Raw genomic sequence first — 27659 nt, 5'->3', positions numbered from 1 at the left:
GAGAGGCTGGCTCAGTGATGCCTCCACTTAGATTCCACTTAGACCTGTAGCAGGACAAGCCACAGACAAAACCCCTCAGACACCAAGTTAAAGAAAGAAGGGGTTTATTCAGCCGGGAGCATCAGCAAGACTCCTGTCTCAAGAGCTGAGCTCTCTGAGTGAGCAATTCCTGTCCCTTTTAAGGGCTCACAACTCTAAGGGAGTCTGCTTGAGAGGGTCATGATCGATTGAGCAAGCAGGGGGTACATGACTGGGGGCTGCATGCACTGATAATTAGAATGGAACAGAATAGGACAGGGATTTTCACAGTGCTTTTCTATAAAATGTCTGTAATCTATAGATAACATAACAGATTAGGTCAGGGGTCGATCTTTAACTACCAAGCCCAGGTGTGGTGCCGAGCAGATTTCATTTCTGCCTTTTAGTTTTTACTTCTTCTTTCTTTGGAGGCAGAAATTGGGCATAAGACAGTATGAGGGGTGGTCTCCTCCCTTATTCCCCTCTTTTGAGAATCTCACTCATGAGTGGGAGTTCTCACTTTCATTTTCACTACCATGTCTTCTTGCAAGACAGATCAATAGTGATTCACATAGTACACTTGGGCTGAAGCATTTTGGTGAACTAAGGTAGCGATGAAGCTTTTTATCATTTGAAGAAGTACAGGTAGCAAACAAGGGAGCAGTAAGCAGGTTCCTATTACTATTAAAACTCCTATTATAAGAGTTTTAAATCCTCCTAGTGCTGGGAACCATTTTCCAAACATGGCCCCAGGATCAAATTCATGCCACACTTGCACGGGCACATGTGCCAGTTTTGTCCTATCTCTAACTATATCTTCAACTACTTGTCCTTGATCATCTACGTGTAGACAGCAATTAGTAAGGTTAAATTTCCCATAGACCCCTCCTTCAGCTGCTAGCAAGTAGTCGAGAGCCAATCTATTTTGAGAGATAGCATTTCTCATCTGAGTTTCTTGCCAGGCCAGAATAGTCAAGGCTCTGCTGATTTTATCAGTGATTATTTCTAAGGCAGCTTGTAACCGTATGATTCGGTTGAGCACGTAAATGGGGGTCTGGTATCCCCACAAGCCGTCTTGTGCCCAAGTAACAGGCCCATAATATTGTATGATTCTCTCAGGGGGCGGCCATTCATCATCTTTCCAATTTTCTATAGCTATGCTTCTCTTTTTGCGGGAAGCATAGACAGGGAAGCCCAGGAGTTCACCTGTTTTTATGGGCAGTTGGAAGAAAGATGGTTTAATAGTGCCAATAACACAACTACCTGCCCAGTGGTCAGGTAATTTGGCGTAAGCTCTATGCCCACATATCCAGTATAATCCAGTGGGGGCTGTCCAGTCCTGGTGGGACTCCGGGTGGGTCCACACGGTTTGCAACTTTGGGAATTTACTAAATGGATTCCTCTCTATGTGATTTGAACTCCACCAAGTGACTGTTTCTGTGGTACCATTATACAGTTTCTGTCCCAGACAACTAAGTCGTCCTACGGGGTGAGTGAATTCTTTTCCTTCTCTAGCTATGCAATATTGTCCAATAATTGAGGCTTTTGGGACCCAGAAATTATCAGGGTGATTCTTTTGAGCCAAGAATTCATCAGGAACTGGGTCTGTAGGTAGTAATTCTTGGGCTTCCCATGGCCATTGACCTCCCATTACAGTTCCTCCGCATACATAACATGAAGTGACATTGAGAGACTGGGCTACGTGCTCGGCTAATTGCAAAAACAAATTTCTTGTTTTTCCTGGAATTTGTGGTACTGGCACATTGAGTTCATCTTAGAAAGTTTGAAACACTGGCTCAGGAGAGGGTTTGTAAACTTCTCCTCGGACCAAGTCCTGTACTGGCCAGTAGTCCTTGGTCCCTGGTTTAGGGACAGGTAGGAGGGGGGTGTTCCGTGGAGACTGGCAAGGAACTATAATTCCATAGGCTGTCAAGCGCCTGAGAGGAACCTGGATTCCTTCGAGAGCTTCTCTGGGAACCAGATACTGCTTTTGTCTAATTGGTTGGGCCCCAGGCTTAACTTCTATGAGTACAGGGGCTTGGCTGACCACCAGTCCTGGAGGATTATCCTCTGTCCATACTTGGGGCCATTGCTTAGCTAGAGCTGGTTTTATCTCTTGGCCTGGCTTGGTTAGAAAAAGTCTTCATTCTTCTTCCCGGGGGACCGTAAGGGCCATGATAACTCCTGTTGCTGGTAACTTTAGCTGTAAAGAGCCCTGCTTTGTAAAGGAGATGGTGGTTCTCAACTTGCTAAGCAAGTCTCTTCCCAGCAAGGGCAAGGGACAGTCAGGCATGTACAAGAACTGGTGAGCTATCTCATGTCCCCCCACCGAGCAGGTCCGTGGTAGACAGAAAGCCTGCTTAGTGGAAACTCCTGTTGCTCTGATTATATCAATGGTTTTCTTGGATGAGGGGGTGACCGGGGTGGTCACTACTGAAGGTTCAGCACCACTATCAACCAAAAACTTAACGTCCTTGCCCCCAGTTGTAATCCTGACCTTGGGCTCCTTGGGGGTGCTTGCGCCCGGTCCCCTTCAGTCCAGTAGCCCTTCAGCCAGATTGAACAAAGCTCCCTCATCTTTATCTGAGGTCTTTTGTTCTGAATCACCTTGCTTTTCCTTCAGTTGGGGACACTTATCTTTCCAATGCCCTACTTCCTTACAACAGGCGCATTGGTTACATTGCAAGCATGGGAGATTAGACTGGGTATTCTTCCCAGAACCCCCCTTTCCCTCTCCTTTCGGGGGAATTCCCATAATGGCCATGGCCAGTAAGTCGGCGTTTCGCCTAGCCTGGCGTTCGCCTTCCTTACGGCTTTCTCTGTGGCTTGTTGCATTCTCAAACACTTGATTGACTATTTCCAGTAACTGTGAGGTATTCATACCCGCAAACCCCAGTAACTGTGAGGTATTCATACCCGCAAACCCAGCCTGTTTCTGCAATTTTCTCCTGATATATTCCGTGCTTTGACTAAGTAAGGCCATGTTAATCATGGGCTGATTCTCAGGGCTATCTGGATCAAAAGGAGTGTACATACAGTAAGCCTCACACAGTCTTTCATAGAATTGTGCTGGACTCTCCTCTTTTCCTTGGATGACCTCAGAGACCTTATTTACATTTGTAGCCTTTTGAGCCCCTTTCCTTAGACCTTCTATTAATGCCTCACGGTACCGTCTTAGCCTCTCCATGTCTGGTCCCTCGTTCAGGTCCTATTGGGGGTCTGTTCCTGGCAGCTGAATTCTTATATATTCTTGGGGGTTTTGGTAATTGGCTGGGACGTGCTTCTCTAGCCACTTAGTTGCCGCCTGGAGCACCCTTCACCTTTCACCTGTATTAAAGAGGTACATGAGCAGCTGGTGGCAGTCAGCCCAAGTAGGATTATGAGTCTGTATAATAGTTTGGAGCAAGTCAATTAAAGCTTGAGGCTTTTCAGTGTAAGATGGAGTATTATTTTTCCAATTGAGGAGGTCAGCAGAGGTAAAAGGTTGATACACAAAGGCACGCCTTTCCACCATGTGTCCGTCCTCATCTACCCCAGTATATCACTGCTCTCTCAGGGGCATTTGGATTCCAGTCTTGGGCTGTAAGCGAGCTTTCAAGGGAGGAGTTTCTCCCGTGGCTTCACTTCCTCTTTTGTCTACTCTGGGTGGTCTGGGGTGTGGTTATCTGGTGGAGTTGTAGGTGCTGTGGGCTCAGGAGTGGGGAGCCCTTCCTCTTGATAAGGAGGGGATACTGCTGGTACCAATTCCTGCTGTGACTCTTCTGGTGTTGGGTTGGACAGGACTTTTGGTGCTGACTTCCCTCGGCGGGTGGGATCGAGAACCTTCCTTAACTAACTGTCCCTTTGCTACTAGTACTGCTGCTGCCTGTCCTCTTAACCACTGCGGGGGGTCCAAAACTAGCTGTAACCAAGAATCTATATGTGAGAACTGATCTGGGTGCCCTGGCTTACAGGTTACCCTGTGCCATACCTTCGAGACAAGGGACCTGTCCAGGCTTCCTTCCGATGGCCAACCCACCTCTAATGCTGGCCAGTCTATCTCACACAAAGCTCTAAGTTTTCCTGGTGTCATAGTGACTCCAGAGTCTCCCTTAAATCCCTTTTTGAAATTTTTCAACATAGTTCCTAGTGGGGTAGGCTTACTTTGTGTCTGACCCATGTTTCCTCGAGACAAAACACCATGCTCACACCACAAAACAAAGAACGGGTAAAAAGGGCACACACACACTTTTACAGTTTACGCCAAGCCAGAATCAAAACCAAAATCAGAGTATCAAGAAATCCAAGCCAGGTCAAAACCAAAACCAAAGTATCAAGCAATCCAAGACAAGTCAAAAACAAAAACCAAAGTGCTGGTACAGGCACACTGTGGGTGATCAGGACACGCTTCTACTCAAATGGAGTAGGCAAGTTCCCAAGACCAGTCCTGTCAAGCGATTCAAACCAAGTCAAAACCAAAACCAAAACCAAAGTGCTGATAAAGGCATGCCATGGGTGATTGGGCCATGCTTCCACTCAAATGGAGTGGGCAAGTTCCAAGGACTAGTCTTACCAAGTTTCAGTTGTCCGGACTCCAAGTGCCAGTTCCTTCCCTGTGTTCAGCCACTGCGTTGATCCTCCACAGGGGCCTGCCATGCACTGCTCTGACGAGGCATTCCACTGGGGCAATTGCCTACCTGGGAGCGCTCTGAGGATCCGTGTCGCTCAAGCTGGCCAGAGTTCCCCGCGGGGATGCTCCACAAGGCAGGCCTAAGCTGCCTAAGGGGCTGCCTCAACTGTCCGTTAATCACTTTGCTTCCTGGTCAGGGAACCAAGAAATGTAGCAGGACAAGCCACAGACAAAACCCCTCAGACACCAAGTTAAAGAAGGAAGGGGTTTATTCAGCCGGGAGCATCAGCAAGACTCCTGTCTCAAGAGCCGAGCTCCCTGAGTGAGCAATTCCTGTCCCTTTTAAGGGCTTACAACTCTAAGGGGGTCCGCTTGAAAGGGTCGTGATCGAATGAGCAAGCAGGGGGTACGTGACTGGGGGCTGCATGCACCGGTAATTAGAACAGAACAGGACAGGGATTTTCACAGTGCTTTTCTATACAATGTCTGTAATCTATAGATGACATAACCGATTAGGTCAGGGGTCGATCTTTAACTACCAGGCCCAGGGTGTGGCGCCGAGCTGTCTGCTTGTGGATTTCATTTCTGCCTTTTAGTTTTTACTTCTTCTTTCTTTGGAGGCAGAAATCGGGCATAAGACAATAGGAGGGGTGGTCTCCTCCCTTAGACCCACTTAGACACTCCCCGGTTTCTGCTCACTCAGGGCTGGAGGGTGCTGCATGCTTGAACCTCTTTGGCAGAGGGAAGCTTTGACCCCCACCCCAGGATCAAGGAAAGAGAACTCCTAAGGTAGCTGTGATTGGGGCCACACCCATCCCTCATCCAGCCTTCAGAGGTGCCTTTTCCTCCCGCCAGAGGTGCCCTCAGCCTGGGATGGGGAAACCTCACCCGGCCCCTCCCGGCCAGGCCTGGCCCAGTTCCCTGCCCCCTGCCCCTTGCCCTCACATCCATCCTTCCTGGTCCCTTGACTCTGGAAATCCCAGCCTCTTTCATTCATTCATTCATTCACTCATTCATTTATCAATATTTGTCCCATGCTAAGCCCAGGGATGTGAAGACGAAAGAGACAGACATGGCTCCACCCTTCTTAGCACCAAAGACTCTGCTGGGATGTTTTTTCTTGATGAGTGCTGTTCGTGGGTCACACAGCTGTGTGCAGTAAGCAGCCCTTCACAGCCCCTGTTCCCACACTCAGTGTACATAATTGCAGCCCAAAAGAGCGAGGAAAGTTTTACTAAGCACCTTCCTCTAGCCAGAGGCGTCAGCTCCTTCAGTCTTCCCAATTATCATGGAAGTGGGCACAGCTTTCCATTTCACAGATGAGGAAACTGAGGCTCAGAAGGTAAAGTATTCGGCCCCAGGAGGTCAACGCTGAAGTATGATCCCACGTTTTCCTCACTCTGCCACCCTTGCCACCACTCCCCACCTCCTTACCCAAAGAAAAGAAAACAAACCAAACATTTGGGCTTTGCTTTGATCTCAGAGTCTTCATCACAGTACAACTTCTACTCTTTTTGTTTGTTAGTTTGGTTTTGGAAAACTGAAAGTAGCTCAGGGCCTCGGGTTGCTGTCTTCCAGGCCCCCAGGGCTTGGCACTGCCTCGACCCTAGTGGAGGGGGTCGCTGCCCTCTGAGAACACTGCCCTATAGGCTCCCTCCCTGCTGCCCACCCCCATAAGTTACCCCTGCCCCTTTCACCCCTCCGGGCCTCCAGGTCCAGAAACCTCTGGGCCCCTGTCCCCACTCAGACCTCAGATCCCTGGCGGGAGTTTCCTGTCCCCATCACTGCACTTTCCATGACACAAGAGGAAGTCAGCTGAGCCCAGGCTGGGTTTTCCAGGCAGCGAGGCCCAGTAGAGGCTGAAGGTGGGGGAAGGGGTTGCTGAGCCCCCAGGGCCGGGTGTCAGAACCTCCTCAACCTCTACCGGAGAGGTGCCTGCCGGTGCTGCCGTGGGCCACACCAGGTAATCTGGGGTGGGGTGTGCCTGTGTCTGTCACCCCTCTGGACTCGGTGACTCCTCAGTGCCCCCAGGTGTGCCCTCTTCACTGGGGCAAAGGGGCACTAGGATCTGGGGAAAGGGGAGGAGCTGAGGGTGGGAGGGAGGAGGTGAAGGAGGCTGAGGAATGTGACTGGTGCATAGTAGGACCTCAGGGTTTGTTGAATGAATGAAGGAAGAAATCTATGGAATGATTCCCAAAGATAATGGATGGCCTGGTGGCCAGATGAGAAGGGCAGAAGAGGCCTACAAGTGTGTGTGGATGACTCAGTGACCTGGATCCTTGGAAACCTCTGTTTGGCTGTGGGGGTGGGGGCACCCAGGGAGCTGACTTCGCAACACTCCCCTCCCCGCCAGCTCAGGAAGTGCCTCTCCTCCCCCAGCTTTGTTCCCACCCAGTTTGGCTGTTGGTGGGGGGTGGGGAGGGGGAGAAGGAGGATCTAGGATCCAGGTCTGGACATGCATGTGGCGTGCAGTGTGGTGGAGACGCGCTGGCCTGGTGGCACCTGCATTCGAGTCTCACCTTTGGCACCTTTGCAGTCAAGTCCCTGTCATGCTCTGGGCCGAGGTTGGCTCATATGTAAAATGCAGAGATTGGATGGTCCCGAGGCCCAGCTCTCTTGTCCTAGGAACCCAGCATGAAAGTGTTTGACTGGCGTGCCGAGTCCAGTCGGAGGTGGGGGATTTCTCTGTGTGGGGCCTGGAGGTTTACCTCTTTCGCTAGTGTGAGAGGGAGCTGAGTGTTGAGTGAGTGTCAGGGCTTTGGGGAGGGGCAGAAGACTGAGGATTCCAAGTGGCCTGAACAGGGTCCCGCTGGCTTGGGAAGGTGTCTCAGTGTGTGTACTTTCCCCAAGTCCAGGTGCGAGTCGAGCAGCTGGGGAGGAGGCCGTCTTGCCTGGAGGGACAGATAAGGCTCCCCCACTGACCCCCTACTTTCCTAGCCCCTCACGGACAACACTAGGCAGCCTCCTGTGGCTTCTGGAAGGTCTGTGATCAGTGGTACCCTGGCGTGAGCGGGCTGGTTGGCTCAGGCTGCATTCGCCCCCGCCTCTGCTGGGCCCTCCTCAAGTTCCCCTCACTGGGGCTGTGTTCCTGGAGCCCCTTTCCATTGCTACCTGCCCCCCAACCCAGGCCTGCTGTAGGCCTGCCCACAGCCCGGGGTGCCAGTCACACATCCCGCAGCCTGAGGCCCTGAGGACTCAGCATTCATATTCACTCTTCCGCTGCTACTGTAAGATTAGACTTGTTCGACCATAAGGCATAGGCTTTGGTTGAGAAAATAAGGCCTCCTAGTAGTGTACGACAGGTGTTAATGAAGGCTGTTGTTCATGTGAAATAATTGAGGATCAGAGAGGTTATGTGAATTCTCCAAGGTGCACAGATAACCAACAGTGAGCTTTGGACTGGACCGCCAGGCCTCCTCTTCCACAGGCACCCCTTGCCCTGGTGCAGCCTCTCTCTCATCTCAGGCTGGTGCTTCTCGTGGCCATTTAGGGGTTTCGCTGTGTCACAGTAGAGATCTTGGGGGCCTAGGAGGCCGGCTGACCCAACTGTGTGTCCTCGGTGTGGCAGCCTTGGCCCTTGGAGCCTCAGATCCCATCTGTAAAACGGGTGGAACACAGCCTGCCTTGAAGGGATGTTGGGAGGCTGGCCGGGTGCACTTGTGGAAAAGGCTCACGTGGCGGTCAGCACGCAGAGCTTCAGCGTGGCTCTCAGCTTCTTAGAGCAGTGCTTAGCGTTCCTGAAGACCTGACACTGGTCAGGAGCGCTCCTGCCTTCTCTCCCCCGCACCTAGCACCCGGCACAAAGCTATTTCTTGAACAAATGAATGATTGACAGAGAAGCTTTCAGCAGGGACACATGAAACAGACTGACAAGCACACCCTGCTCCCCGCACCCCCCACCACCGCCCTGAGCTTCCAGCCCAGTGGGGAGGCTACCTGACAGGCAACTGGGACACAGCATGGAAAGGCCAGGCCTGAGGGAGCACAGAGGGGGACGCGTGTCCAATCCAGCCTCTGGGAAAATCAGGGAAGGCTTCCTGGAGGGGGTGACATCTAGATGAAGACCCAAAGGATGAGTGGTTTTCCAGCTTGGTGGTGGGATCAATTTTCCAGGCTGAGGGAAGCATGAGGACAATGACTTCTGAGTCCTGCTAGCGTAGTGGCTTCTAGATGGGTCCAGAAGTGGGACGCTGTGGGCAGCATCCTGGCTCAGCCCCTCACTGGCTCCGTGCCTAGGGTGGAGTCTCTCCCCCCGGGTCTCAGTTTATCTGTGAAATAAAGGCGCTGCACCAGATGGTCCACCAGATTCCTCAATCTGTCAGTTGAAGCTTGGAGTCTCATTTAAAGAATATCAGTTACCAGAAGCTGGAAAATTGATACAGCCATTTTTAAGGGATAAAATGGCAAAAGCCACATTAAAAAAAAATCTCGTATACACTATTACCTTTAGAGAAGCCTCCTATACTCACCAGGGTGCAAGGCAGTATGCACAGGGGTGCTGAAGTCACCAACGGATAATAAAACACGGGAAAGATAGGGCAAAGGGCAAATAAGTTCCAAACCAGCTACACTCTGGAATAGTTGGGAATATAGCCATCAAGAAAGGGCTCATAGATCCCCGTATCCTGACACAGAGAAATGTCCATGATATTTTTGCTCAGTGAAAACATTAAATTTCAGAACAATTTATATATTGCAGTCTTATTTTCATAAAATAAAAATATCAATGAGTTGAATAGTTTCTACATTTACAGAAATTAATTGTGGGGGTGAGATTTGATCAAGATGGTAGCATGAGGTTGGGTAAGGATTTTATTTTAAAAGGGGTCTGCAGAAAATCTTTTAAAGAAAAAAGTCCTGGTATTTGTTTGTATAATTATGTAAAACATATAACATTTTTATAACGTGATTTTTTAATAATAAAAATAATGCATGCTTTTGTGAAAAATTAGCAAAACTATAGAATATAAAGAAAAAATAAAACCACTCACAATCCTACCATTCATTATGACCACAGTTAATATGTTATATATTTTATTCTTTTCAATTTATAATTACGATAATCTACTGTTTCAAAATTAGTATCATGTATTTGTGATATACATGTTTATATGTACGAGGTATATATATTTTATATAAATTATATATCTTTTATAAATATACTTAAGATATATACACACAGATATCTATATGTAGATATATATAAAGAGATATCTTTGTATCTGCTTTTTTTCTTAAAGTATATCTTGAGTGTCGTGCCATGTCATAGACTTATATAACATGGTTTTTAAAAATGGGTCTACAATAGCTAATAAAAGTTCTGATTTTTACTTAACCAATCCCTATTATTGGACATTTGTGTTGTTTACTCTTTTTTTTTTTGTTTTTTTTTTGAGACAGTATCTCAGTCTGTTGCCCAGGCTGGAGTGCAGTGGTGCGATCACAGCTCACTGCTACTTTGACTTCCTGGGCTCAAGTGACCCTCCTTCCTCGGCCTTAGCTGGGACTACAGGCATGAGCTACCACGCTTGGTTAATTTTTAAAAACAAATTTTTTGTAGAGATAGGGTCTCGCTGTGTTGCCCAGGCTGGTCTCAAACTCCTAGGCTCAAGCGATCCTCCTGCCTCAGCCCCGCAAAGTGCTGGGATTACAGGCGTGAGCCACTTTACCCAGCTCCTCATTTTTTTTTTTTTGCTATTAAAAATAACTGTGATAAATATTTTTGCACAATCATATCCTTATTTCCTTTAATTAGAATTATTTGAATCAAGGATTATGACCATTTTAAATACTAAAAGCACACTGTAAAAATTGAATTAGTTACCTCCATCCCAACTTACTTCTAGTAGATCTGAATACTGATTGGCTGAGTTTACTTAAAGAGGGACACACTTGAGTAGGTTTATAACTACTTTAGGGATCAGGATTTTTCTGTTCCATGATGGGCACTCTAGGTGCCCTGTGACTGTCAGTGTGGAAGAGGTCCAGGTCCACCTCGAGGGACAGGTTTGATATAAGAATAAGACATGTTTGTGATCATTAGTGAGTGTCCAGGACTCCACCTTGGGGGACAAATTTGATATAAAAGTGAGACATGTTTGTGATCATTTACTGAATGTCCAGGACATTCCTCGAGTGACTTCTGTTTGTCTTTGATGGCGGGTCCTTCCCTTTGCCCATTGCTGGGAGGTTTGGAGGAGCTGAGGTCACCAGCCTTGTTTCAGAGATGAGGAGACTGAAGTTCTGAGAGATGAGGGGATGGGTCCAGGTGCAGTCAGCCTTGGCCTGTGGCAAGAGGCAGGTCCCCAAGGCAATCTGGAGAGAGTCGGTTCTGGTCTGGTGTGGAGGGTGGGAGGGCATAGCTCAACAACTTCTACCCCATCCACACCGATGTGGAGCGCTCACCTCGATATGTGTCCCAGCAAGCCCCAACACTTCAGCATGGGTTATATGTTCCTAATTCTGTAAGCTCTTCTGAGGCCAGGGCCATGTTGGGTTGACCCTGTGGGATGATCTGGAAACAAATACTTATTGGTGTTATATGTGGTGATGATGATAGTGATGATCATGTCAATGATGAGAATGATGATAATGGCAGTAATGATGCTGATGGTGATGATGAAATGATGAAGATGATGGTGATGATGATGTCAGTAATGTTGATGAAGTCGATGATGATGATGATGGTGGTGATAATAGCTACCATTTACTAAGGGCTTACACAGTGCTAGGGACTCTATGTAATTACATTATCTTAGTTTTTTTCCCCAGAGTGAGTATGACACCTTGGCCGGGCGTAGTGGCTCGTGCCTGTAATCCCAGCACTTTGGGAGGCCGAGGCAGGAGAATCACTTGAGCCCAGGAGTTAAAGACCAGCCTGGGCAACACGGTGAAACCCTGTCTCTATAAAAAAATTAAAAAAAAATTATCCAGGCATGGTGGTGTGTGCCTGTAGTCCCAGCCACTTGGGAGGCAGAGATGGGAGGATTGCTTGAGCCCAGGAGGTTGAGGCTGCAGTGAGCTGTGATCATGCCACTGCACTCCAACCTGGGTGACAGAGTTAATATATACATACCACCTTCACTGATGTGGAGGATGACTTGAGGTGGCTCACAGATGAACATTTTTATCTTAATAATGTGTTTGTTTTACTTTATATTAATTTATATACTGAAAATAGATAACTAGCTCACCAGATTCATGGTTTATACATTTCATTTTTAGATTAACTAGTGAGTTGATTTAAAGGAAAAATATTAAGTAAAAATAATATTTGGTACTTGGATAAGGTAAACGTGAATGGAAATTTTGAATCATTGACATTTGGAAGCATTTGGGGCAGATATCATTTTTATTCTATTTTGCAGAAGAGTGAGTAGATACTCAGAGAGTTTAATTAGCCTGAGATTATACACCATCCAGGTGGTAAAGCTGGGCTGGAACCCAGATGCTTAATTTAAAACAACAACAACTTTTTACTTATATATGGGATACACACAGCACAGTACATGCAGTGTGTTATAAATGTAACTTCACACACTGCACGTGCTGGTGTAACCAGCACCTGGGAGGCTCCCCACTGCCCCGCACTGCTCCCTACCCAAGTATCCACTGTCCTGACTTCTGTCATCATAGATTGGCTTTGCCTTTTCTTTGAACTTTATTTTATTTATTTATTATTTTGAGACAAGAGTCTGTCACCCAGGCTGGAGTGCAGTGGTGCCATCTTGGCTCACTGCAGCTTCTGCCTCCCAGGTTCAAATGAGTCTCCTGCATCAGCCTCCCGAGCAGCTGGGATTACAGGTGTGCACCACCACGTCTGGCTAATTTTTATTTTTTATTTTTTTTATTTTTTTTTTTTTTAAGAAATTTAGATTTTATTCTTTTTTTTTTTTTTTTTTTATTATACTCTAAGTTTTAGGGTACATGTGCACATTGTGCAGGTTAGTTACATATGTATACATGTGCCATGCTGGTGCGCTGCACCCACTAATGTGTCATCTAGCATTAGGTATATCTCCCAATGCTATCCCTCCCCCCTCCCCCGACCCCACCACAGTCCCCAGAGTGTGATATTCCCCTTCCTGTGTCCATGTGATCTCATTGTTCAATTCCCACCTATGAGTGAGAATATGCGGTGTTTGGTTTTTTGTTCTTGCGATAGTTTACTGAGAATGATGGTTTCCAATTTCATCCATGTCCCTACAAAGGATATGAACTCATCATTTTTTATGGCTGCATAGTATTCCATGGTGTATATGTGCCACATTTTCTTAATCCAGTCTATCATTGTTGGACATTTGGGTTGGTTCCAAGTCTTTGCTATTGTGAATAGTGCCGCAATAAACATACGTGTGCATGTGTCTTTATAGCAGCATGATTTATACTCATTTGGGTATATACCCAGTAATGGGATGGCTGGGTCAAATGGTATTTCTAGTTCTAGATCCCTGAGGAATCGCCACACTGACTTCCACAATGGTTGAACTAGTTTACAGTCCCACCAACAGTGTAAAAGTGTTCCTATTTCTCCGCATCCTCTCCAGCACCTGTTGTTTCCTGACTTTTTAATGATTGCCATTCTAACTGGTGTGAGATGATATCTCATAGTGGTTTTGATTTGCATTTCTCTGATGGCCAGTGATGATGAGCATTTCTTCATGTGTTTTTTGGCTGCATAAATGTCTTCTTTTGAGAAGTGTCTGTTCATGTCCTTCGCCCACTTTTTGATGGGGTTGTTTGTTTTTTTCTTGTAAATTTGTTTGAGTTCATTGTAGATTCTGGATATTAGCCCTTTGTCAGATGAGTAGGTTGCAAAAATTTTCTCCCATGTTGTAGGTTGCCTGTTCACTCTGATGGTAGTTTCTTTTGCTGTGCAGAAGCTCTTTAGTTTAATTAGATCCCATTTGTCAATTTTGTCTTTTGTTGCCATTGCTTTTGGTGTTTTGGACATGAAGTCCTTGCCCACGCCTATGTCCTGAATGGTAATGCCTAGGTTTTCTTCTAGGGTTTTTATGGTTTTAGGTTTAACGTTTAAATCTTTAATCCATCTTGAATTGATTTTTGTATAAGGTGTAAGGAAGGGATCCAGTTTCAGCTTTCTACATATGGCTAGCCAGTTTTCCCAGCACCATTTATTAAATAGGGAATCCTTTCCCCATTGCTTGTTTTTCTCAGGTTTGTCAAAGATCAGATAGTTGTAGATATGCGGCATTATTTCTGAGGGCTCTGTTCTGTTCCATTGATCTATATCTCTGTTTTGGTACCAGTACCATGCTCTTTTGGTTACTGTAGCCTTGTAGTATAGTTTGAAGTCAGGTAGTGTGATGCCTCCAGCTTTGTTCTTTTGGCTTAGGATTGACTTGGCGATGCGGGCTCTTTTTTGGTTCCATATGAACTTTAAAGTAGTTTTTTCCAATTCTGTGAAGAAAGTCATTGGTAGCTTGATGGGGATGGCATTGAATCTGTAAATTACCTTGGGCAGTATGGCCATTTTCACGATATTGATTCTTCCTACCCATGAGCATGGAATGTTCTTCCATTTGTTTGTCTCCTCTTTTATTTCCTTGAGCAGTGGTTTGTAGTTCTCCTTGAAGAGGTCCTTCACATCCCTTGTAAGTTGGATTCCTAGGTATTTTATTCTCTTTGAAGCAATTGTGAATGGGAGTTCACCCATGATCTGGCTCTCTGTTTGTCTGTTGTTGGTGTATAAGAATGCTTGTGATTTTTGTACATTGATTTTGTATCCTGAGACTTTGCTGAAGTTGCTTATCAGCTTAAGGAGATTTTGGGCTGAGACGATGGGGTTTTCTAGATAAACAATCATGTCGTCTGCAAACAGGGACAATTTGACTTCCTCTTTTCCTAATTGAATACCCTTTATTTCTAATTTTTATTTTTTTAGTAGAGACGGGGTTTCGTCTTGTTGGCTAGGCCGGTCTTGAACTCCTAGCCTCAAGTGCTCCATCTGCCTCAGCCTCCCAAAGTGCTAGGATTACAGGTGTGAGCCACCGTGCCTGGCCCTTTTCTTTGAACTTTAAATGTATCACAAAGTTTATACCTTTTGTGTTTCAATTTTTTTCACTCATTATTCTTGGACGATTCATCCATGTTATTGTGTATAGGAGCTTGTTCTTTTTCATTGCTGTATAGTATTCTGTTGTGTGACTGTACCACCATTTATTTCCACATTCAACCACGACAGGCATTTGGTCATACAAAGTCTACATCTTTTAAGCTTGAAGCTCTGCTGCCACCCGCAGATACCTGCATATCACAGAGTAAACAGGACTTTTTCTCAGAGAGCTGGAGACCAAGGAGGGTGTGAAACACACAAAGCCACAATTACAGAGGCAGGTGCTTTCCCAATTGTAGAGTGGCCTCGAGGTGGCCTGGGTGGTGTATGGTTTGGACACTCTTAATGCCTCTCTTGGAGCACTGCACTTTACAAAGCATTTGCACGGAAGCATCGCACTTCATGTCCCTGACAGCGCTGTCAAGCAGACAGGTGCCCCGTCCCCGCGCAATCAACGAGGAAACTGACTACGACATCCCCAGTGAAACAGAAACAGAGGCAGAGCCTGCACTTGCATCTCCGGATACTAAGTCCTTGGCTGTTTATACCTCGTTCCAGTTGCCTGGTAAATCCAGGGGAGATCTGAGGCCCTGGAGATCCTTTCTGTCCCCTTGCAGGGAACTTGTAGTCTGGGATTTGAGTCTCCCTCTGTGAAGGATTTAAAGGCAAAACAAGTCTCTGATGTTTTTGGAGTGGAAACCTGCTTTCCCTAGAGCCTCACTTTACTTCATCTGCAAAGCAGGGGAGGGTCCCTGCTCCCGGGCAGGGCAAGGGTTGTGGTCACCATTGTCAGTAACAACCCCTGCCTGTGTCTGCCTCGAGTCATCTTCACTGAGCATGGCACTTTCACATTCATCACTGAGATCAACCTGATCTTCATAACAACCGGAGGAGGAAGACAGCGAAGATGACATTTGCCCCATCTTTCAGAGAGGTGAAGCGCCCTGCCCATGATCACACAGCAAGTTAAGGAACCAACAGGGACCCAGGGCTCCTGATTCTCCCGCTGAGAGGATACCCTCCGCTCGATCAGGCGTTGTCCTCTACGAGGTCAACTTCTGTTAGGACATACCCAACTCTGAGGCCGTGGGGCCCTACACACAGGAGCATGGCGGTCCAGCAACGTTAGGGGGCTTCCCCAGGATGCTCAGCAAGAAGGGTTGGGCTGGTGGGAACCCACAGCTCCTGCGTCCTAACCTCTCTGCAGGACAGGGTGGGATGGCAGGGAGACTAGGTGATGAGGGTCAGCAGGGGGTCCCAGGACAGACTGGTTCTCAGGGCAGCCTCCCTGGCAGGGACAGGGGGTTAAAATGGGTTTCTAGAGCCCCTTTTTCTTTTCTGTCAATCACCAGCTGTGCAAGCTCCTCTGAAAGATGGGAATAACACTAGTACCTGCCTCATCAGATTGTCATGAAGATTAAATGGCGTGAGGTAGGTAGAGCAGAGGCCAGCATCTGGCAGGAACATTCACTACTCACCCACTTCCCCACGTGCTCTGCCAAGGAGGGCAGCTTGGGATGAGTGTGTGCCTAGGAACACAGGTCCCCTCCCGATATTCCTGAAGGGACGTGATTTGTAACTGTGAAAAACGCAATCCAACTGTCAGAAGCAGATGGCACCAGCCGGGTAATCTGTGACCTCGGAGTGTCGTTCCTTTGATTCTGTACCAAGACCACTCTGCCGCGTGTGTACCAGGCTGGAAAGTAAAGCGTGCCCCATGGCATACAAGCCACACCCTGCCTGTGGCCTTGCCCGGCAGGAAGGGGGCTGCAGGGGAGCCCCTTTACTGGGCTGTGTGTTTCTGTGGGGGCTGGATCCTGCCCTCCAGGGGGCCACTCTCAGTGCCTGCTCTCTGTGCCCCTGTGAGGTTTATCTGACCAGTGTGCAGGGCTGCCGAGGTCCCTGGATGAGACAGGCATTGGGCAGGAAGCCCCGGGCTTGATGCTGGGCAACACGCCCATGGGTGAGGTCTGGGTAGGGTGTGGGAAAGAGTGTGGGGGGCGGAAGGAAGCTGGACCTGGCCCTGCCTCCGCTCTCACCCTCAGCCAGGCCCTGCCAAGGCTTCCTCCCCCAGGAAGACCTCCTCGGTTCCCTCTCTGCATTGAGGTATGGCCTGCTCCTTCTTCCTCCATCTTTTCTGGAGTCTAAGCTCCCTTCTGACTTTCCCCTCTGACAAAGGGGTTAGATAGAAAAGTGAGAAGTCTCAAATTCTGTAATCCCGAGAGCCCATTCCTCTCCAGACCCCGCTAATACACAGTGCGGACAGAGCGTGTCCAGTCAGGTTCCAGGACAATTTCTGATACAGGATGTGTGGAGAAAATGGGTTACTTAAAGCGCAAATGAAGATTTCTCCTGTGGGGTCCAGAGCTTAGCTGAAGTCCTTCCAGCATCTGGATCCCAAAGAGGGAGGCTGCATGCTGGGGACAAGGGCTGATGTCGGGGATCAGAGAGGCTTCTCTATGTTGAGGTCCAGAGTCGGGCATGCCACGGAGCAGCCACCCCTGGAAATGGGATCTTTCAGCCCAAGAGACCCTCAAAGGCTTTGGGACAGAGAACTCCTTTTTTGAGGTCCTGTTATTCACTGCCCCCCAGTTGTGAGTGAATCTAAAGGGAGGCCTGTGGGGCCCAGCTAATGAGCTCCCTTTCTTCTGGCCAGAGTTTGGGAATCCCAGGGAGCGGGGAGGAGGTTCTACTCCCAGCTTCTCAAGGTAGCCAGAACGACACGTGGGCCCCAGAGCTGGGGACAGAGCTCCCTCTCCAGGCACTTCATTGAGAGCTACTGGGGCTCTAGTCTGGTTTCTGGCTCCTCTGAGGGTGCCCCTGGCATAGGAAGTTGTCTAGGGGCACACTGAGCCCTGGGTGGAACAGGCGTCCTGACCTTGGGATCCATGTTTGTCCTTCAGTGTTCCACAAGCTGCCTGACACCATGGGTGGTCATTTGTGTGTTTTTCTGGGGAGAAGGCCCGCACCTTTAGTCTGCACCTCAGTGCCTCCCATGCCCCTAAAAAAGGCTCTATGCTGGGCTCATGCCTGTAATCTCAACACTTTGGGAGGCTGAGGCAGGCGGATCGCGAGGTCAGGAGATCGAGACCATCCTGGCTGTGGTGAAACCCTGTCTCCACTAAAAATACAAAAATTAGCTGGGCATGGTGGTGAGCGCCTGTAGTCCCAGCTACTCGTGAGGCTGAGGCAGGAGAATGGCGTGAACCTGGGAGGTGAAGTTGCAGTGAGCCAAGATTGCGCCACTGCACTCCAGCATGGCAACAGAGCGAGACTCCGTCTCAAAAGAAAAAAAAAAAAAAGAAAAAGAAAAAAAGAAAAGAAAAGGAAAAAAAAAGGCTCTAGAAGCTCTGGTGCAGTACAAGGCGGGTCTGCCTGGAAGTGTGGTTTCATATTTTGTTGGTTTGCCAGGTTTAGCTGCAGAGAATGCAAGTTCTCCCCACTTCGGAGACCGCGGCTTGGTGACCTGGGGTTTGTGCTTTGTGTCTTCATTGCTGAGCTCCTTGTGCAGTTACTTGTTCTGCTAGAGATTATAGCATTTCTTTCGTCTTCCCAGCTCCTGCAATGAGGTGAGGATGCCTCTGTTCTGAGGAGCCTCAGGTAGGGTGCTGGGGCTTGTTTGATTCAATAGTTGGAGCTGAAATGAATCCGTTATATAGAGAAGAAAGCTGAGTCCCCCCAGGGTCAAGTGACTGACACAGGCCCACATAGCTGGTCCAGACTTAAGGTTCTGGATCCCGGGTCCTTTCATCCTGTTATTCCTCAACCTTCCCTGTTGCTGTGGGAACAACAGAAGGGGCCAGAGAGGGTTAATTCTAGTAATTTTCATGCAGCAGCCGTGTAACCTACTGCACACTGCCATCCTACAAGCATGGGTTCTTGTCCGTGCATTATAGCTGTGGCCCAGAGTGGATGGTTCTGTTGTCTGACCCCAGAGTCCCTGAGTGTCCCACAAAACTATCCTGTTCCTTTGGATTTTCCTGATCTCTTTTTGCATCACCACAGGCTTCTTTGACTCCAGGAACAGCCCATTCATGTCAACCAAAATTCTAAATTCAGCACCTCAGAAGTATGACCAGCAAAACCGATCTGACACTAAGTCCCACTGGCCCCCTACTTTTAGTGGACAAAAAGGCCTCACAGGCTTCGTCTCTCCCAGGAATTTGAGGAGTTCAGAGATGAGGAGAGGGGATTGGACACAGCAAAGCCTGGCCTGGCAGAGAGGGGGGTGGGCGAGCCTCACCCTGAGAAGGTGTTTCTTCCTCCTTATGGCCGTGGTCCTTTTTGATGTTAGATGCTTTTGTTTCCCAGGTGTATGGGGACCTGGGACCTGTGGGTTTTGGAGTGCTTGTCATGACTAGGCCCAGCTTTGGGGACAGGGTGGGGACGACTACTCCCAGGTTCTCAAGAGGAAAAAACTTCTGTACATTTCAGAAATGCAATAGATCTGTTATCAGCTCTACGCACTGCAAAACGCAAGTTCCTTTCTTATTTGATCTGACAGTGAAAAAATTCACAGATGTTTTATTGGAAGGTTAGAAAATAAAAAAGAACCCTTTCTCAGTCCAGGTAGTCTGCCCCCCATCACCTTGGCGTGTCTGCGGCTGTGCTGGGCCTGGGCTTGTGCGTGGATGAGGAGACAAGGCTCAGAGTGGAGCAGGGGGAGGCTCGGAGGCCTTTGCTTTGCAGCCCCACCCGCAGGCTCAGCAGGGTGGGCCCCTGTGCTAACACTCACCCCCACCCTGCCCCTCAGTTCTTGTTTCCATCTACCTTCGTCCCTCTCACCAGTCCCAACGCAGAGGGCCAGGTTTTCTTTAGTTTTCTTAACTACGTCTTTTCTTCTGGTTGGGAAAAATAATATTTACTACCTCTTGTACAGTTTGGAAATACATAAAATATGTAGAAAAAAATTAAATGTGGCTGGACGTGGTGGCTTGTGCCTGTAATCCCAGCACTTTGGGAGGCCAAGGCAGGCAGTTCACCTGGCTGTTGGTCAGGAGTTCGAGACCAGCCTGGTCAACATAATGAAACCACGTCTCTACTAAAAATACAAAAACTAGCCAGGTGTGGTGGCGGGTGCCTGTAGTCCCAACTACTCAGGAGGCTGAGGCAGGAGAATCGCTTGAACCCAGGAGATGGAGGTTGCAGTGAGCCGAGATCACGCCATTGCACTCCAGCCTGGGTGACAGAGTGAGACTCTGTCTCAAGAAAGAAAAAAAATTAAATCAGCTCAGAATCCCACAAGGCAGAGGTCTCCCCAGTAACCACCAGCTGCAGAGGCTGTGTGCCTCAGTTGCGTGCCAGCTGATGACCTCCTCAGCACAACCAGTTAAACCTTTATTTATTTCAGCTTTTCTCTATCTTTATAAAGCTTTTCCCCCCTTCATTGTGAAGATAGCATGCTCATTGGAGACAATTTGGAAAGCACAGAAAGATATTTTCATGCTTCTTTAAGCAAAGAGAGGAAATTTATTCCCATCTCCCCAAACTGCCATCAGCAGTTTGGAGTAGCTCCTGGTCTTTGTGGACTTTTGAAAAAGCACATGTTGTCTGGGCGCAGTGGCTCATGCCTGTAATCCTAGCACTTTGGGAGGCCGAGGCGGGTGAATCACAAGGTCAGGAGATCGAGACCATCTTGGCCAGCATGGTGAAACCCCGTCTCTACTAAAGACACAAAAATTAGCCGGTCGCAGTGGCGTGCGCCTGTAGTCCCAGCTACTCTGGAGGCTGAGGCAGGAGAATCACTTGAACCCAGGAGGCGGAGGCTGCAGTGAGCCAAGATCATACCACTGCACTCCAGCCTGGGCAATAGAGCAAGACTCTGGCTCAAAAAAAAAAAAAAAAAAAAGCATATTTTTTCCAGTTGAGAGCATGTTCTATAGAAGATTCTGGGTCCTGGTTTGTCACGCGACAACAGAGTAACATAAGCATTTCCCATGTTAATACAAACAGCAGTCCTCACGTATGTTCTGGGCTCATGTGCACAGACTCTACCCAGCACTGTGCAGGCACCATCTTGCTCAGTTCTTGAGAAACCTTATGAGGCAGGTGTGGTTATTAATTTTGCAGACAAGGAAGCCGAGCTGACCTCATCTGAGGTCTGAGAGCCAGGGAGCAACAGGGGATTGGCGTCGAAGGCTCAGCCAGCTTAGATCCCTGCTCTTAATCACTAGGTTATCTCTCCTGTGAATTTTTAGTGACCTTTCTAGTTTTGTATAAAACCAGAAAATGACCTTTGTTAAAAATTCAGGAATTACTGAACAGCATAAAGAATATTCAGAATCCTATCACCCAGTGATATTTATTCTGGCAATTGGCAGTTTCTTGTGCATAGTCTTCATATTTTTATAGTTGATGTTATCCTAACCTTTCAGTTTCGAATGTGGTGTTTTTTAAATTTATTTTTGTATGTATTTCCCAAGTCATTAGTTCCTCTTGGCAAAACATAATGTTTATTGATGGTTTGTCCGTCCATTGAGTGGTCGGTCTTGATGGGTGTAATCACTTCCCTGAGGTTGGGCTTTCAGGCTGCGGCTCTCTGAAATAATAAATAATTTAGGAATCAATACGTTTCTGCACAAAATGGTTTGTGTATTTCTGACAATTTCTTTAGGCTGCGCATATTCCCAGGAACTGAATTGCTGGGTTGAGGGTTTTTACAGTTCTTAACTTATATTGCCAAATTATTTTCCAGATGGTCCGTAACTCTTTACTCTTCAATTAGCAATACCCTGTTTACTCCTAACTAGATGAATATGTGACCTTGTTTTAGTTTGCACTCCTTTTATTTCTAATGAAGCTGAATTTCTAAATGTGTTTATTGGTCACTGGTGAGTCTTCTTTTGCGCACTGTCTAAAGCAGTGCTTTCCAATCAAGCTTTCTGCAATGATAGAAATGGCCTGTATCTTCCTGTTTAATAGGGTCCACGTGGCCTATATCTGCCTGTCCAGCAGCAACCAGCCAAATGTGTCCATTGAGTACTTGAAATATGGCTAGATAACTGAGTAAAATTTAAATTTAATTTTATTTAAATTTAGACTTAATTTACCTAAGGTTTTAATTTAAACTTGATTTTAATTTAATTTACCTAAGATTTTAATTTAAATCCTAAATTAATTTAAATTTAAATAGCCACATGTGGCTAGTGGCTACTATATTGGATAGCACACTCCTAAGCCTTTCCCCAGTTAGGCATTTGGGTCTCAGTGGGTGATTTATATTGATTTGTATGAGCTCTTTATTTATGATGGCTACTAATCTTTTTTATGTTTGTTGCAAAGATTTTACCCCACTTGCTATTTGACCTTTTTTGTTCAGGTTGTTTACAGGGTATCAAAATGTTAGGTAGCCAAATCTAGTGATCTTTTTTTTGTGGTTTCTCCCATAGCTTTAGGGTTAGAAAGTCCTCCCCCACACAGAGGTTTGATAAATACTCTCATCAACTTTTTTCAAGTCTTTCTGTGATTTTTTTTTCCTTTAGCTCTTTAATCCACCCAGAGTTAATTTTGCTGTGTGCTATGAGGTACAGCGTGTCTTAGTCACCTCTCTGCTTGGTGCAGAATATGTACCGAGTATATTTTATCTTAGATGGGACAGTTGGGTGCTCTGCTGGTTGGGTTTGGGTGGGTGGTAGGTAAGCAGGATGAAATTAGATAGTAAGTAAACTACTGCTATTTAAAATATTGATCTCTTTTTAAATTTTGTTGTTTATGAAGACTTTAATGACAAAAGAAAATGAATCTGATACAGTGTTGTTTTCAAAGAGAGATGCAAAATCACACCTACAATGTAATATGAACCATGTTTATAAACGCAATTAAAATATTGGAAGAAATATCCCAAAATACTAATGGTAATTGTCTCTGGGGGGTTGGTATTTTTTTTCCTGCTTCTTAACAATTCTATACTTCCCCAGTTGACTACAGTAGTTTTGATTATCTGAAATATTATTAAATACAGCATTTGGAGAAACAATGCATGATCACTTCCTACCTCTAACTCCCCACAGCCGTCATCCACCAAGTCTGCAATTCGCACAGCCACGCTCTGTGCTTAGGGCAGGCGAGTTGGCAGGGAAGGGTCCTCCCTGGCTTTCAGTTCAGGCTGGGACTGGAATTCCTTTGTAGTCACTCACAGCATGTGAGTTTCTTGGGCAAGTGATAGAACTCAGGACTGTTTCCTCATTCCTAAAATAAATATTGTAACAGCTTTGCACAGGGCCAGTGAGGATATGTTTCTTTGTTAATTATATAGGCGTGTGCACACACACACACACACACACACACAGTATATGTATGTGCAAAACTGCAGATATCATCAAGACGCATTCAAAGAGCACCAACTTACATTTATTTTATTTTATCTTATTTCTTGCTTTTTTCATTATTGAAATATGTGAAGGATATCTTTTATTTTTTTTCAATTTGACCAACATACATTTTTAAATAGCAACATTCCATCTTCCTATCACTCCCACCGACCCCACTCCTCAGCTGTAACCACCACTAAAAATTTGATCTGAATCTTTATTTATTTATTTGTTTTACAAAATGGAAATGGGATAATATTATACTGATTATTATATAATTATTTCTTTTTTTCCACTTTCCAATAAATTGTGTGTGACTTTCCATGTTGATACAGGCAGATTTATGTCATTCTCTTTAATATCTGCACAGCCATCCATAACATGAATGTGCAATAATTTTTTTTTGAGATGGGGGTCTTGCTATGTTGCCCAAGCTGGGCTCAAACTCCTGGCCTCAAGCAATCCTCCCACCTCAGCCTCCCGAGTAGCTGGGACTACCATGATTTATTTTATCCTTCTTTATCATTCATCAACAATTTGTCTGCCTGTTACAAGGAGAGCACAGCAAACATGTCTTTAGGCACCTGTGTTTAGTATCTTGTAGGATGGATTTCCAGATATGATGCTGCTGCATGGATATGAACATTTAAAAATATTGAAAGATAATGCCCAAGTTGTTCTTTTAAGAAAGCTGAACCATTGACATTATTACTGTCAAGGAAGAAAAGCTTTGATTACCTTCCACGTCCTCAATTCTGAATGTTACCAATATTTTTTGACTTTTACTAATATGGTAGGTATAAAATATCATGAGTTTTAAATTTTTATTACTTTAATTAGTAGAGAGATTGAACACTTTTTAAATATGTTTTGCATCCACAAAACATTTGTGTTTCTTCATTGGTTATCTATTCATATTCTTTACCTGTTTTGGTGGGGGTTGTCAGTCCTTTCCTGGTGGATTTGTAGGTGCTCTTTATATATAATGGATATTAATCCTTAGTCTGTTGCATGTGTTGAAAATATTTTCTCCCAGACTGTCATTTGTTTTCTACTATTTATTTTTTATGATATCTTCCACTATTCATACATTTTAAATTTTCATGGGGTCCAAATTCTTTCTCTTCAGGATTTTTAGTTTTTATACTATGCTAAGAAAGACATTTTCCACATTCAAGTTATAAAAAATTTTTCCCCTATATTTTCTTCTAGTGTCTTTTTTTATTACACAAATCTTTAATCCAATTGTACTTTATTTTTGAGTAGGTGTGAGATGTGACTTGTTTTAATTATTTAAAATTAACTCTAAAGTTTTTTATTTTTCAGTTTGTTTTCCCCAAAAAGAGAACAGCTGCTTCAACATCACTTTTTGAAAATTCCAGGTTTCCTTCCACTGCTTAGGATTAGCACTACATCATTGAATTTTAAAATAAATGAGATGAATTTCCTTTTCTGAATTCTTCCTTCTTTTCCATTAATTAATCTGTTCCTAAAATGGTATACCCAGTTTTAAATTGTGTAAATCTTTAGATTGAACTATAATCTTATTATGGGAAAGGACATTACTCGTCTGCTTCTAACACTTCTTAGCTATCCTTCTTCATTTTCAAATAAATTTGTCAGATCTCCCCAACTCCCCCCAATCCCATTAGATTTAAAGTTCAGTGAATTTCTGGATTGATTTGAAGTAGAATCAACATGTTTACAATATTGAGCCTTTCCACCAAGGATCTGATATTAGACTAAATACAGTTTATTCTCTTGGGTTCAATTTCCCCATTGGTAAAGAGAGGAGGTTGGATTCGATTTGAAGTTTCCTTCAGGCTCTATAATGAAAATCAACAATAACAGCAACAATGATGACAGCAGTCATTATCAGGCCTAAAGCCAGGCTGGACACGAGGGGAGAAAGCTATGGAAGACATAATCCCCATTCCCCAGGAGTTTTTCATCCAGAGGGAAGATGTAGCATGTATGAGAAATTTTGACCCAAATGTTCAGTTAATGTGTTTCAGATTCATGGGCAGAAGTAGATTTTTTAAAAAGAAAAAGCCATTAATAAATGGCTGGAGGGAGCTGCAGCTGTCAATCTGGCCAAAAACATTGTTGAGAATGCTTTGTGCGTGGAAACTTTTTTCACTATTTTTAGTGAAATCAAAATATGAAAAAAGGGAAATAAATTTAGTAAAAATAAAAATAACAATGGTGCCTGTATCTAAAAATTCCTAGCCCACCCCACACCTTATTTTAGTGGCTTTCTATTTTTATTTTGTATTTTTATTTTTCTTTGAGACAGAATCTTGCTCCGTCACCCAGGCTGGAGTCCAGTAGCACGATCATGGTTCAATGCAATCTCTGCTTCCTGGGTTCAAGTGATTCTCCTGCCTCAGCTTCCTGAGTAGCTGGGATTACAGGTATGCACCACTACGCCTGGCTAATTTTTGTATTTTTAGTAGAGATGGGGTTTCACCATGTTGGACAGGCTGGTCTTAAACTCCTGGCCTCAAGTGAACCACCCTCCTCGGCCTCCCAAAGTGCTGGGATTACAGGCGTGAGCCACTGCGCCCAGCCTTTCTATTTTTAGTGACCAGCTAGTTTGGCTGAGTGTTTGCCTCTGACACAGTAAGAATGTGTCCAGGCTTGGACTCAGAGCTTCTCAGGATCAGATGAAACCTTGGAGACCAAACTCTATCGTGCGGATCAGGAAAATGAGTCCCAGAGAAGGGAAGGGACTTCCCCAAGGTCACACAGCAAATTAGAGGCAGGAGGACTCCTGAAGGCGCTGTGGGTGCCTTGTGGTTTATCCTGTTTCCCTCCTGGCCTCTGGAATTTGGGGCACAATTCTTCTCTGTCAGGGACAATTGCAACCCTGGCCGCCCCAACTCCCAGATGGGGAGCATGAGGGTCGATGGAGGGTCTGGTGGGTGGGGAGTGGGGACTGTGCCCCAGTAGAGCAAGCTGCTACCACTTCCTGCTGATTCAGGCCTCTTGGGAAGCCCTGACTTTTATCGCCAAAACTCCCCGTGGTGCACCGTACGTGAGGCCTGGAGCCCTGGCTTCGGATCCCGGATTGGATTCTGACCTGAGCCTGAGCAAGTCTTCTCTCTCTGGGCCTGCAGAAAGAGGACACCTGAGCAGATGGCTTCCATGTCTTCCTACCAGGGTTCCCGCCCACTGGAGCCAGCTGGGCTGTTTTATGGTGTCTGCCAAGGGTTGGGTCTTCAGCTCTGTGTGTCCATCCTGGTGGTCTGGGTGTGACCACAGTCCGAGTGTGTGTGATGGAAGGTGATGGTTTGGCAGTGGTGACTGAAGTGGGCTCCAGGGTCGTGGCAGAAGATCAGGGAGGAGGGGCACAACAGCCTCACAGTCACGCTCACTGTGAAGCCATCTTGATGCACCGAGAGGCCCATCTCCCAGAAGTGCCCAGCCCCCTGGCATCTGGCCACATGCACAGGGGACCAAGCTGTGCCCAAAGAGAGCTAAGTCTCCCAAGTGACTCAGTCTAACAGAAGTCCTTGACTGGTGTCCTCACCTGGCAGGCGGGGAGCTGGCGGAGAATGGGACTTGGGCCTTATGATCTGAACTCCTGTGGACTGGCCCTCACCCTCTAAAGGCAGGAGACTGAAGCCCAGCAATATTGTCATCACCTCCCTCTGGTGAGACTGCCCCAGGCGGGCCCCACTTCTTCCCAGAAGCTGACTCCCCCTTCCTCTGCACGATGAGGAGGAGTCCTCTGGCTTGTCTAGTAACCAGGCCTCAGGCATTCCCGACTCAGTCTTTCCCTCTTCTCTCTCTTTAAAAATAGCTTCTTTGTTTGGAACACAGCTGCACCTCCACCCGCTGAGAAGCCCAGCTCACGTTGAAGACATTTCTTTCCAAAGTAGTAACATAGGTCATCTTTGCGGATGGCTCATTCATTCATTCATCCTTTCGCTTAATAAGCGAGTACTAAGCACCTGGCCTGGGCTGGGCACCCTGAGTACAAAGTGGATAGAACACAGTCCACCTCATGGATCCAGATTCTACCTGGAAGCCTGGCTTTCCTTTGCTGGTGGCTGTAAGGGGTTTGGTAAGGGGTTTCCTCCAGGCTGTTGGGGACCTGCCCAAACATTCCTTAAAGAGCAGTGGGATCCTATCTGGAGGCCCTGCCATGGGTGTGGCCCTGGAGACCTGCAGGGGAATCCATGGGTCGAGGCCACCTGCTGGCTCTTGCTTCAGACCCTGTCCCCTAAAGCAGGACCGGCTCCATCCCCACAAGGCCCACTGGGCATGTCCCACTCGCAGGCCTCTTCTGCCTGTGATCACCGGCTTTTGGTTAATGGCAGTGACAGTGCGGCTGAGCCCTGGTCACCGTGAGGGCCACACTGCCCTGTCAGTCAGGGTGGCCCCCTGAGTCACGTTCACATTTGCTGAAGGAGCCTCTAGTCCTCACCTCTGGTGGGTGTCTCTCCTCCCTCAGAGCCGCCACCACCACCAGCTCTGCAGGAAGTGGTTCTTTTCTCTCTGTTTCTCCCCCCTCAGTCACACACAGAGGCTTGGATGGAGGTGTCAGGCCCTCAGCTTCGGAGGCTTAGAGGCTGCCTTCAGTGGGCAGGTGCTGGGTCTGGCTGGAGAGAGGGCCCTGGTGGGCTTGGCCCATCGGGGAAGT

At 46.6% G+C, this 27659-nt stretch overlaps 1 protein-coding gene and 2 long non-coding RNA genes across 3 annotated transcripts in view, besides 2 other annotated features; 1 reads left to right on the top strand and 2 right to left on the bottom strand.

Moving 5' to 3' along the window:
* The window catches only part of CD5 (CD5 molecule), a 33890-nt gene extending 28966 nt beyond the window's left edge, over positions 1-4924 (bottom strand). The window contains exon 1 of the mRNA NM_001346456.2: positions 4571-4924. The gene's annotated coding sequence lies outside the window, so the exon portion shown is untranslated. The remainder of the gene's footprint in view (positions 1-4570) is intronic.
* Positions 5966-6928: an enhancer, noted in NCBI's record as "H3K4me1 hESC enhancer chr11:60859431-60860393 (GRCh37/hg19 assembly coordinates)". NCBI's record gives its function as "activates a minimal SCP1, AML or CMV promoter by ChIP-STARR-seq in primed H9 embryonic stem cells {active_cell/tissue: H9 hESC(primed)}" and the evidence as "EXISTENCE:reporter gene assay evidence [ECO:0000049][PMID:30033119]".
* Positions 6529-27659, top strand: part of LOC105369325 (uncharacterized) — a 63496-nt gene continuing 42365 nt past the window's right edge. Inside the window, exon 1 of the long non-coding RNA NR_188502.1 lies at positions 6529-6590. This is a non-coding gene — a long non-coding RNA (uncharacterized LOC105369325). The remainder of the gene's footprint in view (positions 6591-27659) is intronic.
* Positions 7207-7256: an enhancer, noted in NCBI's record as "active region_4792". NCBI's record gives its function as "activates an Ori minimal core promoter by ATAC-STARR-seq in GM12878 lymphoblastoid cells {active_cell/tissue: GM12878}" and the evidence as "EXISTENCE:reporter gene assay evidence [ECO:0000049][PMID:35858748]".
* On the bottom strand, positions 20978-25175 carry LOC124902677 (uncharacterized). Its single transcript, XR_007062690.1, has 2 exons — positions 22696-25175; positions 20978-21240 (listed from the first exon to the last, which is right to left on the bottom strand). It is a non-coding gene; the product is annotated as an uncharacterized LOC124902677 (long non-coding RNA).

Source organism: Homo sapiens, chromosome 11 (genome assembly GCF_000001405.40).
Source record: "Homo sapiens chromosome 11, GRCh38.p14 Primary Assembly".
Taxonomy (NCBI): Eukaryota; Metazoa; Chordata; class Mammalia; order Primates; family Hominidae; genus Homo; species Homo sapiens.
The sequence above is the reverse complement of the archived record's forward strand: the minus strand, read 5'-3'. Positions and strand labels throughout refer to the sequence as shown.